The 12,745-nt window shown below is 51.5% G+C and overlaps 3 protein-coding genes and 1 pseudogene across 3 annotated transcripts, besides 1 other annotated feature; 2 read left to right on the forward strand and 2 right to left on the reverse strand.

The window, feature by feature from the left end:
• Positions 1 to 1,633: 1,633 nt before the first annotated feature.
• On the forward strand, positions 1,634 to 2,029 carry H4C14 (H4 clustered histone 14). Its single transcript, NM_003548.2, has one exon. The coding sequence runs from the start codon at positions 1,662 to 1,664 to the stop codon at positions 1,971 to 1,973; it is 312 nt and encodes a 103-aa protein (NP_003539.1). The 5' UTR covers positions 1,634 to 1,661; the 3' UTR covers positions 1,974 to 2,029.
• Positions 9,453 to 10,026: an enhancer, noted in NCBI's record as "NANOG-H3K27ac-H3K4me1 hESC enhancer chr1:149812048-149812621 (GRCh37/hg19 assembly coordinates)". NCBI's record gives its function as "activates a minimal SCP1, AML or CMV promoter by ChIP-STARR-seq in primed H9 embryonic stem cells {active_cell/tissue: H9 hESC(primed)}" and the evidence as "EXISTENCE:reporter gene assay evidence [ECO:0000049][PMID:30033119]".
• H3C14 (H3 clustered histone 14) lies at positions 9,664 to 10,185 on the reverse strand. The gene has a single exon (NM_021059.3). The coding sequence runs from the start codon at positions 10,132 to 10,134 to the stop codon at positions 9,724 to 9,726; it is 411 nt and encodes a 136-aa protein (NP_066403.2). The 5' UTR covers positions 10,135 to 10,185; the 3' UTR covers positions 9,664 to 9,723.
• Positions 10,186 to 11,194: 1,009 nt separating this feature from the next.
• H2AC18 (H2A clustered histone 18) lies at positions 11,195 to 11,727 on the reverse strand. The gene has a single exon (NM_003516.3). The coding sequence runs from the start codon at positions 11,673 to 11,675 to the stop codon at positions 11,283 to 11,285; it is 393 nt and encodes a 130-aa protein (NP_003507.1). The 5' UTR covers positions 11,676 to 11,727; the 3' UTR covers positions 11,195 to 11,282.
• On the forward strand, positions 12,014 to 12,487 carry H2BC19P (H2B clustered histone 19, pseudogene; annotated as a pseudogene).

A 12,745-nucleotide genomic window follows, 5' to 3' on the forward strand; every position in this document is an offset into this window, starting at 1 on the left:
GGCATGTAGATGCTGTGATGCGCAGTGGAACCGTTCAATGAGCAGACAGGAGAACCAGCTTTATGCGGGGAGGGAGAGAATTGCTCCCCTCATCCCCCGTGAGTCACACCCTGGAGATTATAAGTTTAAACATTTTGATTTCGGGAGATTTTGAGTTTTGGGCTTAAAATGACTGAAGAACCACCAGGTGGATCTACGTGTCTCGAGTCCAGAAGTCTGAATACAGATTTACGATTTATGAGCACACAGAAGGTGGATCCAAGGGAGAGATTAAACAGGGCACAGAAGAGTTTTTAAAAATAATATTTTTCGGGAAAAAAACCCCAACAAAACACGATTCTTTCAGCAGAAACCAGAAGATTTTCTCATAGACTCTCCTACAGAGAGCCCTGATAAAGTAATAAACATGCTAACAGTAAGAACCCCAACCAATTTCATAGGGCAGTTTGCGGTAACTACTCCCAGTATGGAGCAGACAGTCCTCTTGCAAAACCCGATTTAGCAAACTTTGCTAGCTCCATGTGGGGCCTCCAAAGGACACAGCTGGGCACTAAATCCTGGCTGAAAACAAAGGCCGATTTAGAGGATCCGTAGAAACGGATGCACAGAATATCCCTCAGTCTTCTCTATGTAGCAGGCCCTCCATATACGCGGGTTCCCCAAGACCGAAAATATTAAACAAATGAATTTCTTTTTTAAAAAAAAGTACAACAAAAGATAGTAAAAATAAAAACAGTATAACAATTACTTACATAGCATTTACACTGGATTAGGTGTTACGAAGTAATTTAGAGACTATTTAAAGTACACGGGAGGATGTGCATAGTTATGTGCAAATACTACGCCACTTTCTATGAGAGACTTGAGCAACCTGGATTTTGGTATCGGCGGGGGCCCTGGACCAATCCCCTCTCAGTTCTACCGAGGGAGAACTGTTTTGTTTCTTCCAGCACGGCTTTGACCGACAGTGTGTTGGGATTCGCTGACGTCCATGAGAAAGCTTGGCAGCATGCTGAGACCAATTTTCCCAGGGCCAGAATTCTCCTGTGTGAGCTAAAATACAGTGGCTCGGTCCAACAAAACAGAGCCTGGAGCCAGGAATTATGGCGAACCTGCTCCCTCCCGTCCTCCCTTGGCGCACAGATCCCTGGCGCCGCCGCTCTTGAGGTCGCCTCTCGCGTGTCGACCTCATCGTCGGAACGGCGCTTCCTGAAGCTTTATATAAGCACGGCTCTGAATCCGCTCGTCGGGATTAAATCCTGCGCTGGCGCGCTCCTGCCAGTCTCTGGCCTCCATTTGCTCTTCCTGAGGCTCCCTCCAGAGACCTTTCCCTTAGCCTCAGTGCAATGCCTTCCGGGCGTCCTCAGACCAGACACAGGCCAAAGCCACTACAGAATCCGGAAGCCCCGGTTGGGATCTGAATTCTCCCGGGGACTGTGGCGTAGCGGTTAAAAAAAAAAAAGAGTGAGAGGGACCTGAGCAGAGTGGAGGAGGAGGGAGAGGAAAACAGAAAAGAAATGACGAAATGTCGAGAGGGCGGGGACAATTGAGAACGCTTCCCGCCGGCGCGCTTTCGGTTTTCAATCTGGTCCGATACTCTTGTATATCAGGGGAAGACGGTGCTCGCCTTGACAGAAGCTGTCTATCGGGCTCCAGCGGTCATGTCCGGCAGAGGAAAGGGCGGAAAAGGCTTAGGCAAAGGGGGCGCTAAGCGCCACCGCAAGGTCTTGAGAGACAACATTCAGGGCATCACCAAGCCTGCCATTCGGCGTCTAGCTCGGCGTGGCGGCGTTAAGCGGATCTCTGGCCTCATTTACGAGGAGACCCGCGGTGTGCTGAAGGTGTTCCTGGAGAATGTGATTCGGGACGCAGTCACCTACACCGAGCACGCCAAGCGCAAGACCGTCACAGCCATGGATGTGGTGTACGCGCTCAAGCGCCAGGGGCGCACCCTGTACGGCTTCGGAGGCTAGGCCGCCGCTCCAGCTTTGCACGTTTCGATCCCAAAGGCCCTTTTTAGGGCCGACCACTTGCTCATCTGAGGAGTTGGACACTTGACTGCGTAAAGTGCAACAGTAACGATGTTGGAAGGTAACTTTGGCAGTGGGGCGACAATCGGATCTGAAGTTAACGGAAAGCTACCGCGGCCCATAGCGCTCACAGCCGTAAAGACTTAAGTCGTTGACCGAAAGCGGCTTTTTCACTTACCTGGGCTTTTTTTTTTTTTTTTTTTTTTTTTAAAGCCTTTATCGGTATGAAAGGTTGAATGCTCTAGGTTTGAGCACTGCTTTCTCGGCTTGCTCTTCTGGTGCAGTATAGGCACACCTAGAGGGCCACGTCAGTCTTTGCGATCACCAAATCTGGTTCTGAGAAATAGGCACTGGCAATTTACACATGCCTTGCTGTGTAATCTCACTATATTTGCTCAGGCAAAGTGGGAGAAGCAGCCTTAGGTTTTCATTCTAGAGATGCCGGCTTTCCCACCTGATCGGCTTAGAGTTCACGATTGACTGTTTTGGGCTTCATTTCACCCTCTACATAACAAGCGGGTGGACTAGATGCCTTAGCAAGGGTCCGTGTTGTGTGGTGTCTCCAGCCACGCACTCAGCTCAATCTTAGCACAGTTAAAAAATGCCTTTCTAGCAAGTTATCTGCCCAGTGCCTGAAAAGTATCATTTCTTGTGTTCAATAAAAAGCCTCCTAATTTAATCAAGGACCTATGAGATAACTGTCTTTTAGTTGTGGCATTGCAAGGATACAAATGCAGAGATATTTTAAAGTGATCCTTCTGTAAGAGTGAACCAACGATATGATCTGAAAGCAACTTCACAGGTAATTCAGGTATGTGACTTCTACCTCTTAGGGCCTGTTGTAGCTTAGAATGAGAGACCTGCAGAAACATGCCCACCATCAATACAGAAAGCACAATTTAATTTTGACAAGGCCAAAAGCCAATTCTGTATCAGCATGGCGTATATTACAGCAAGCTATTCTTTACGCTACCACCTCTAAATTGCCCTAATTTGGATTAAAATGTGGGTTCACATTTCTAATCCTTATAGTTTTGCAGCCATTGCATTGCCCGTAAGATTTTTTTTTTCTTCATTCCAGGCTTATGATTTTACTGTGTATGTATTTGGGAGAAGAAATTCTGTCAGCTCCCAAAGGATAAACCAGCAGTTGCTTTATTGGTCTTCAGATGTGGCTGCAAACACTTGAGACTGAACTAAGCTTAAAACACGGTACTTAGCAATCGGGTTGCCAGCAAAGCACTGGATGCAAGCCTTGCCTTCCAGAAGCTTACCAGTCGGGTTGCCAGCAAAGCAGTGGATGCAAGACTTGCCCTCCAGGAGCTTACCATCACAACGAAGAAGACAAATAAATGCATAATATATAGACGACATAAATCCATACTGTACACATTTAAGAATAAACAGTCCAGTAGTAAGAGGCAGTACATATTCAATCTGCTGAGAAATGTAGACAATAACTACTATAAGAATCCTAATGCTACAGAAGTCACTGGCTGCTGGGAAACCGGGGAAAACTTGGCTATGGACGTGGGGGCTTGTGTCGGACTCTGAATAAAGAGCAGAATGATTGGCGTCCTACTGAGATACATAGTAAAGGGGGCGAGGGCAGGGAGGAAGTGGCAAGAATAACATTTGTGAAGATGTCCAGGTGAGAAATAGAGGTTTTAATGCTCAAGATGTTTCCTTTTCCCTTTTAAATCTGACCTGTGATTTCCAGCATTGCTATTTCGAATATCACTGATTGTTTTTAACTTTAAAGGCAATGCTGATGAATATATCTGATCCGCACCAAGATCCACTAAAGAAGGAGATCAAAAATTTGAAGATAAAGCAGAAAGGGAGTGGGGGAGAAAACACGTCCATTGTCTGAATTAGTGGTTCTCAAAGTGTAGCCTCTCATCTAGCAGCACTGATCACCTCGGATAAAATCTTGGGACCCATGCCAGACCTACTGAATGAGAAACTGAGGGGTGAGACATAGTAATCGGTGCTTTAAAAAAGCCCTCCCGATACACATTAAAGGTTGAAAGCCACTGATGCAGGTAACAGCTTTTCTTTTTTTCTTTTCTTCTTTCTTTCCCTCCCTCCCTCCCTCCCTCCCTCCCTCCCTCCCTTCCTTCCTTCCTTTCTTCCTTCCCTTCCTTCCCTTCCTTCCTCTTTCTTTTTTTGAGATGGAGTCTCGATCTGTCACACAGGCTGGAATGCAGTGGCACGATCTTGGCTCACCGCAATCCCCGCCTCCCGGGTTCAAGTGATTCTCCTGCCTCAGCCTCCCAGGTAGCTGGGACTACAGGTGCCCACCACCATGCCGGGCTAATTTTTGTATTTTTAGTAGAGATGGAGGTTTTGCCATGTTGGCCAGGCTGATCTCGAACTCCTGGCTTTAGGTGATCCACCCTCCTCGGCCTCCCAAAATGCTGGGATTACAGGCGTGAGCCACCGCGCCTGGCCTCTTTTTCTTTGGCATGAGCCACGGTGCCCGGCCAATTACTGAGAATTCCTGCCTTTTTCACAGGATTATTTTAAGGATCAAATGAAAAGTTCTGTGTGAAAGAAGAATGAGGCCATGAAGTGATACAGAAACCAAAGGTGATATATTTATTGCCTTTCCCACTCAATGTAGTTCGTTTTTTGTTTTGTTTTGTTTTGTTTTTTTGAGAGATGGTTTCACTCGACTTACTGTGACCAGGCGTTGCTTGGGTACTGCTGCTACTATGGAAATAAACAAAGACAAATCCTTACCCTGAGAAATGTTGCCAGCCTAATGCTGAGGTTAAGGAAGGGAAGGGGTATTAAGATAGGAGAGGGCAGAGGCAAGGAGGAGGGCCCAAAGAGATGAGGGCAAAGAAGAGCAAGGGAGCCGGGCACTGTGGTTCATGCCTATAATCCCAGCACTTTCGGAGGCCAAAGCAGACAGATCATGAGGTCAAGAGATCGAGACCATCCTGGCCAACATGGTGAAACCCCGTCTCTACTAAAAATATAAAACTTAGCTGGGCGTGGTGACACACACCTGTAGTCCCAGCTACTCCGGAGGCTGAGGCAGGAGAATCGCATGAACCCGGGAGACGGTGGTTGGAGTGAGCCGAGATCGCGCCACTGCACTCCAGCCTGGGTGACAGAGCAAGACTCCATCTCAAAAAAAAAAAAAAAAAGAAAAAAGAAAAGAAAAAAAAGAAAGAAAAAGAAAAAACAAAAAACCAGAAGAGCAAGGGAAGGCTCACAGGGCTGAATCTTGAAGAATGGGGGTTCTCAGGGTTACAGAGAAGGGGAGGACATTCTGGACAGAAATGGAATGTGTGAAGATATTGTGTACTTGGAGATTGCAGATGTCGTGTGGGGCTAAACATTCTTGTTCAGCTGCAAGAACATCTGAAACCTGGGAAGGCTGTGGGAAACATAAAGAACTAGATGTATAATATTTTCAGTTTTTTTTTAAATTAGTAACTATTAATAGAGTAGCACAAATTAATTGGGTGCTTGTTCTGGACCAGATACTGTGCTACTACTGTGCTAGGTCCTTTGTTTTTTTAGACATGGGGTCTCACTGCTGTTGCCGAGGCTGAAGTGCAGTGGCACAGTCACAGCTCACCACAGCCTCGAACTTCTGGCCTCAAGCAATCCTCTTGCCTCAGCCTCCTGAGTCGCTGGGATTACAGGCATGAGCACCGCAATTTACAGAAATTGTCACTTTCATGATTTCCAACAAAACAACGAGCAAGTTACTCGTTGTTTTACAAATGGGAAAAGTTAAACCTGTTGAGATTTGCTTCCTGAAGTCATGCACCTGTTTACATGGACAAGGCTAGGAATCAAACTTGGGTTTGTCTAACTCCAGAGTCCTTCCTAGTAATTAACCTCCGGTGCTCTGAACTGCCATGCAAAAGAATGTGAACTTCATTCTGAAGGGAATGGGAAGGTCGTGGAAAATTTTTAAGCATGAAAGTGACAGGCTCAAAACAGCAACACCAACCAACCAACCAACCAACAAAAAACCCTCAGTTTTTAAAAGATAGCTCTTGGCCGGGCGCGGTGGCTCACGCCTGTAATCCCAACGCTTTGGGAGGCCGAGGCGGGCGGATCACAAAATACAAAAAATACAAAACTACAAAAAATTAGCCGGACGTGGTGGTGGGCGCCTATAGTCCCAGCTATTCCGGAGGCTGAGGCAGGAGAATCGCATGGACCCGGTAGGCCAAGGTTGCAGTGAGCCGAGCTCGTGCCACTGCACTCCAGCCTGGGCGACAGAGCGAGACTCCGTCTCATAAAAAAAAAAAAAAAAAAAAAGATAGCTGTCATACGGAGTGGAAGCTCAATGGCAGGGCAGAAAGACCAGCCTGACTATGTAATCTACTAGACCAGAGCTGGCGAGGACTTCAGTTAAGGCATGGTCATGGGTGGACGGAGAAAAGGTGATACAATTGAAAGTCAGAAGACAGATTTAGTAATATTTGGAACTCATGAGATTTGGACAGAGGACAAGAGGAAGGGACACCCAACCAGAACAGATGGGGCTAATGAAGGTGTCTTCCAGGAAGATGGGGAATGTGGAAAGAAACAAATGGGCTTGGAAAGCAAGATGAGGCATGTGGTTTTGGAAATAAGCTGGGTTTGAAGTGCCTAGTATCCATCCAGAAGGACCTGTCTACCAGGCAGTTAGAAACATTGGTGTAGCCAGGCACAGTGGCTCACGTCTATAATCCCAGCACTTTGGGAGGCCAAGGTGGGAGGAGGGCTTGAGCCCAGGACTTCAAGACCAGCCTGGGCGATGAAGTGAGACCCTGACTCTACAAAAAATAAAAAAAATTAGCTGGGCCTGGTGGTGTGTGCCCGTAGTCCCAGCTACTCAGATGGCTGAGGTGGGAGGACCCCTGAACCCAGGAGTCCAAGGTTGCAGTGAGCTTTGATTGTGCTACTGCACTCCAGCCTGGACGAGTGAGACCCTGTTTCTCTTTCTCTCTCTATCTCCCTCTCTCTCTCTCTCTCTCTCTCACACACACACACACACACACACACACACACACACAAAATGTGTAGAGCTCAGGATAGGGTCTCAGCAGAAGATAGCAATTTGGGAGCGCTTAGCTAAGGGACAGAAATAGTGAAAGCAGGCAATCAATCTCACTTGAGTTGCAGGGAGAAAAGAAGATGGCCAAGGCCAGCATGGGGGAAACCAGGAATATTGATGGGGAAGAGAAAGACATGAGAAGACTGAGATGGGGACCTAGAGAAGGATAAGGGTGACCAGGAGAGTGGACCCAGGGGACAAGTCCTCTTCTAAGGAAGAAAAATCAGTGTAAACGTGGCCATGTCTCTTACCACGTAGTTTCCCTCTAAACACACACACACACACACACACACACACACACACCTGTCCCCCACTAGCCTAAGGCAGAATTAAATGTGAACAAAGCACGTTTTTCACTTCATAAAAGCCACAGATTCAGAGTGGACTTACTGGCAACCAAGGTAGCCACGTAGAAGCTGGTTATTAGAGGAAGAGGTGGGTTTTCTTCGAGACAGGGTCTCACTCCCTGTCACCCACACTGGAGTGCAGTGGCACAATCTCAGCTCACAGCAGCCTCCGCCTCCCGGACTTAAGCGATTCTCCCACCTCAGCCTCCCGAGTAGCTGGGACCACAGGCAAATGGCACCACCCCCGGCTAATTTTTTCATTTTTCTTTCTGTCTTTTTTTTTTTTTTTGGTAGAGACACAGGGTCTCGCTATGTTTCCCAAGCTGGTCTGGAACTTTGACTTCAAGCAATCCGCCCGACTTGGCCTCCCAAAGTGCTGGGATTAACAGCTGTGAGCCACAATGCCTAGTCAGAGGAAGAGTATTTCTTTACCCTATCCTTAATTATCCTTTAACTCTCACCTGAGGGTAGACAATGATTTAAGTACAGGGAATGATTAAATGTTAAAACTTAACATTTTAGAATGTTATCTTGTATTGATGAATTCAGCTTATGCTGGTCTCGCAAACAAATACGAAGACTGACAGATTCCTGTGAGTGCAGGCCTTCACAGTGCCAGGACCACAAGATGTAATGAATTCTATTCCTGACTGGATATAAAAAATGCCACGAAATTTTCCTTTTGAGATTCAGCCAGGGAGACCTCCTGGAGTTTAGAGGTACCCAGACTGGTGAGTAAAAGGAGTGTGACCTTGTGGGGGCAGTCAGAGGACCTAGATGTCTGACACCAACATCCCCAGGTTCCAGTCTCTGCTCAGTTACTACTGGGCCTGAGAAGCTGGGTGCAGAGATAGTGACCCACCCACCTCTGAAAGTCACTACTTTTTGAAGTCAGAATACCGCCCATACATTGTGGGCCTAAGCAGGTTACGAGGGTCTCGGCAGAGACCCAGAGGCATGCTCTAGAAATTGCTGTGACCCTGGAGCAGAAACATGTGGCAGTCCCCAGCAGAGCTCACCTACGCTGCTCTCCTCGCTTAACACGCCTCAGGAAAGGCAAAATGGCAGCTTTACAAAACGAAGTTTTATTCCATTTCCCCTTCTCCCCTCTTAATTCTCATAGATCGCTGCAGTGAATGCTTTTAACCTGTCAACTGTGATGAAACAAACAGAAAACCGAAGCCCTGGCTTCTTCTGAGGTGCAAATAAATGACCGAGAAGGTGTTATCTAAGACCTCTACAGCCATTTGTATCTGGCCGTGTGTAGAGTGGGCTCTGCAAGACCCTGCCTCACTTTCCCACTAAGAGGCCTTGGACTTCCCAGCTCCCAGAGACTGTAGAGATCACCTCTGTGGCCTCCTGTCACGATTTCCTAAGGCGAAGAGCTTCATTTGCCCAACGGAGGCCCACGTTCTTCCTGTCTGATCTACTGTCTTCCCAAGGATCTGAACTCGGGCACCAGCGTCTGCCCACATGTCCGACGAAAACAACGTAAAGGAACTACTGAGTCTGGACAGAAAATCCAGACATACCATGCAGCTTCTAAGAGGACCGAGTGCCTTCACTGGAATAGTGAATCTCCTTCTGTGGACATGGACAGGGAACGGCTCGATAAAGCCCAGATTCACAAAATTCCGCCCACACCCCGTGCCCCCGGGAATTTTGGCTTAGGGGCAGGATATGGGGGTTACCACTGTGCTAGTGGAGGTGGCGCGGGGACTGAACGGCAGCCCCAGCGCAGTTCTCCCCACGTTTGTCCGCAGAACCCCGGCGAGGCCGAGGTGGTCATTTCCCTCCCTAGCCGGATGGCCGCGCCGGGTGAGGCCGGTTTGGGCGCGAAGCACGGGCGTGTGGCGCTCCACTTCCGCAAAGGCCAGCCGCGCTCAGGACCGCGAGCCCTGAGCGTCCCCCTAGTGACCCCTGGCCTCGTGCCCGACGCCCCGTCTCTCCTGCCCCGGCCCCCCCGCCACGCAGGGCCCCGGTCACGCGCGGGGGGAGCCGGACCGCCAAAGCCCGCGAGCCGGCGCCCAGGAAAGCGTCCGCAGCCCGGCCAGTGCGGATAGGCCAATTGGCCGAAGTCGGCAAAGCTCAAGACGGCACCGCAGCAGGGGGACCCGACCCCGTTTTGTTGGGAGCCTAAGCGGAAGTGCCTTCCCCGCTCTAATGCCGGAGGAGCACGGAGGGCAAGCGGTACAGCTTCTTCCAAGTGCTGATGTGGGTGGCTCTGAAAAGAGCCTTTTGGATACGATGGAACCTCCGGCCGAACCGCCACTTCTTAAGCCCGCTCTCCACGGATGCGGCGGGCCAGCTGGATGTCCTTGGGCATAATGGTCACGCGCTTGGCGTGGATGGCGCACAGGTTCGTGTCTTCGAACAGCCCCACCAGGTAGGCCTCGCTGGCCTCCTGCAGCGCCATCACGGCCGAGCTCTGGAAGCGCAGGTCCGTCTTAAAGTCCTGCGCGATCTCGCGTACCAGCCGCTGGAAGGGCAGCTTGCGGATCAGCAGCTCCGTGGACTTCTGGTAGCGCCGGATCTCCCGCAGGGCTACGGTGCCGGGCCGGTAGCGGTGCGGCTTCTTCACCCCGCCCGTGGCCGGCGCGCTCTTGCGGGCCGCCTTGGTGGCCAGCTGCTTCCTCGGGGCCTTGCCGCCGGTCGACTTGCGAGCAGTCTGCTTAGTACGGGCCATAGCGAACCAAAACACAGGCTTACCAGCGCAGCGGCGGGGAGAAAAACGAGCTCCTAGCCCCGCCGCAGCCGTCTTTATAAGCACAGTCTTTTCCCGATTGGGCGGAACAATAATTGAAAATCCCGCGCTGGCTGTCCATTGGCTGTGACGTCACCCGTCCTAAAGTCACCGGTTGGCTTGGGCAGATTCCTCCCTAATCCCGCCCACCCCGCCTCACTTTCTACTTACCAGTTGGCGAAGTTTCGCAAGCTTGTTTTTCCCCTTTCCTTCAGGGTGAAAGTCATTTTCCATTGCAGCTTTGTCAGATTGTTCCCTTTCCGCCCTTCGCTTCCTTAGAACACACTGCCCGCAATACCCCCCCTTTCTTGCTGCGCCCTACAGCTCCCGCGTGGAACCTCATTCTTCCATTTGCCCCCCGCCCCCAGTTGCTACTTGGCGGATCGTTTTTCGCCTGTCGGGTGCCTTTTGGGTGGGAGAGGTGCCCGCCCCCAGGACGCAAGATTCCGCCTCCGAGGCCCTTACTCTCCGCCGCCAGGGCGCTTTGGAAAACAAAACAGAAACTAAGACTTAAGTCAGCTCAGTGAAGCCAAGACCCAGCTCCGCCACACTAGCGAGCACTACCCGCTCAGGGCCCTCCCCATCGGGGGTGGGGACGAGGAGCACGTCCCGCTGGTGCCAGACTAGGTCTAAGTGTCCGGCCATAGCCTGCGGAAACCACTAGGGAAGCGCGCGCTCCGCGCGCAACACTTCAGCGCGTTGGGTACTGCCCGCGGCGCTGGTGTTTGTGACTGTGTGGAGCGGACCGTGGCGGCGCCCAGGACGTTTGGTGCCTGCACCTGCCCTGGGAAGTCCTAGGACTGGGGACCCACTCATCGAAGAGCCAAGGCAGTTACGTGCTCCAGATGGAAGACGGCGCGCACACACACACACCCCGCCCCGCCCCGCCCCGTCCCGTCCCGTCCCGTCCCGTCCCGTCCCGTCAGCTCCAGGTTCGCTATTCACTACTGAGGAACGCTGGACTGAGAGTGGCCAGCATTAACAACTCTTTTATTTGAAAACGTGGGTGGCTCTGAAAAGAGCCTTTTGAGTTCACAGGTGCCCCTTCGAGACGCGGGCCGGGCTGGGCCCACTTGGGCCGGACGTCAGCCTCACTTGCCCTTTGCCTTGTGGTGACTCTCCGTCTTCTTAGGGAGCAGTACGGCCTGGATGTTAGGCAAGACGCCGCCCTGGGCGATGGTGACTTTGCCCAGCAGCTTGTTCAGTTCCTCGTCGTTGCGGATGGCCAGCTGGAGGTGACGAGGGATGATGCGCGTCTTCTTGTTGTCCCGAGCCGCGTTGCCCGCCAGCTCCAGGATCTCGGCGGTCAGATACTCGAGGACCGCAGCCATGTAGACGGGCGCGCCGGCCCCCACTCGCTCCGCGTAGTTGCCTTTGCGCAGCAAGCGATGCACTCGCCCTACCGGGAACTGAAGGCCAGCGCGGGACGAGCGCGACTTGGCCTTGGCGCGGGCCTTGCCTCCTTGCTTGCCACGACCAGACATGACAGCGATAGTAGTCACCGAGAGAAACTCCTGCCTGGCGATCGGGAAAGTCGCCGAAAACGCCGCTGCTTCACCTTTTTATAGACAGAACGGCGATTGTCCACGGAGCACTTTGATTGGCTCAAGCAAATTTTGTCCCGATAGCCAATAGGATAGCTCAGCCAGAATCCACTCATTTACATAATCTCGTCTCCCTCGCATTGCGCGCCGCGGAAAACTCGCGAACCATAACGCAGCGTCATGCGCACAGCCTCTGTAAGTACACAGTCGTTTCCGGTAGACCCCGAGCCTACCGCTCTGCTTGCGTTCTCGGGGGTCGGTGTCGGTCTTGGGTCTGGCCATGCCTGAGCCTGCAAAGTTCGCGCCGGCTCCCAAGAAGGGCTCCAAGAAAGCCGTCACCAAAGCCCAGAAGAAAGACGGCAAGAAGCGCAAGCGCAGCCGCAAGGAGAGCTACTCCATCTACGTGTACAAGGTGCTGAAGCGGGTCCACCCCGACACCGGCATCTGGTGCAAGGCCATGGGCATCATGAACTCCTTCCTCAACGACATCTTCGAGCGCATCGCGGGAGAGGCGTCCCGCCTGGCGCACTACAACAAGCGCTCCACCATCACGTCCCGGAGATCCAGACGGCCGTGCGCCTGCTGCTGCCCGGCGAGCTGGCCAAGCACGCCGTGTCCGAGGGCACCAAGGCGGTCACCAAGTACGCCAGCTCCAAGTGAGTCCCTGCCGGGACCTGGCGCTCGCTCGCTCCCTCCCTCCCTCCCTCCGCGGGTCGCCGGCTGCTTTGTCTCCAAAGGCTCTTTTCAGGGCCACTTAACCCCGTTAGTGAAATAAGCTGTTTTCCCACTGCTTACTGTGAGTTCTACTTAGGGGTTTTCCCTCAGCACCTATCCCTTTTCCTGCAGATGATGGGAGAGGAATATAAGATAAAGCTATAAGATGTAGCTTGGTCGAGAACTACCTTGTAGTGACAGGGTCATGTGCACATAATTTGCCTTTTCCAAAGTGAGACGATATGCTACGGGTGCGGTCAATGTAAATCTGCTCAGGAGAGTCAAGGGAAAAAGTG

The sequence above is a fragment of the Homo sapiens genome, chromosome 1 (assembly GCF_000001405.40).
Source record: "Homo sapiens chromosome 1, GRCh38.p14 Primary Assembly".
Classification (NCBI taxonomy): Eukaryota; Metazoa; Chordata; class Mammalia; order Primates; family Hominidae; genus Homo; species Homo sapiens.

Bases quoted from the DNA above. Each gene is read 5' to 3' on its own strand.
- H4C14 (NM_003548.2), top strand. From the start codon at position 1,662: ATGTCCGGCAGAGGAAAGGGCGGAAAAGGCTTAGGCAAAGGGGGCGCT.
- H3C14 (NM_021059.3), bottom strand. From the start codon at position 10,134: ATGGCCCGTACTAAGCAGACTGCTCGCAAGTCGACCGGCGGCAAGGCC.
- H2AC18 (NM_003516.3), bottom strand. From the start codon at position 11,675: ATGTCTGGTCGTGGCAAGCAAGGAGGCAAGGCCCGCGCCAAGGCCAAG.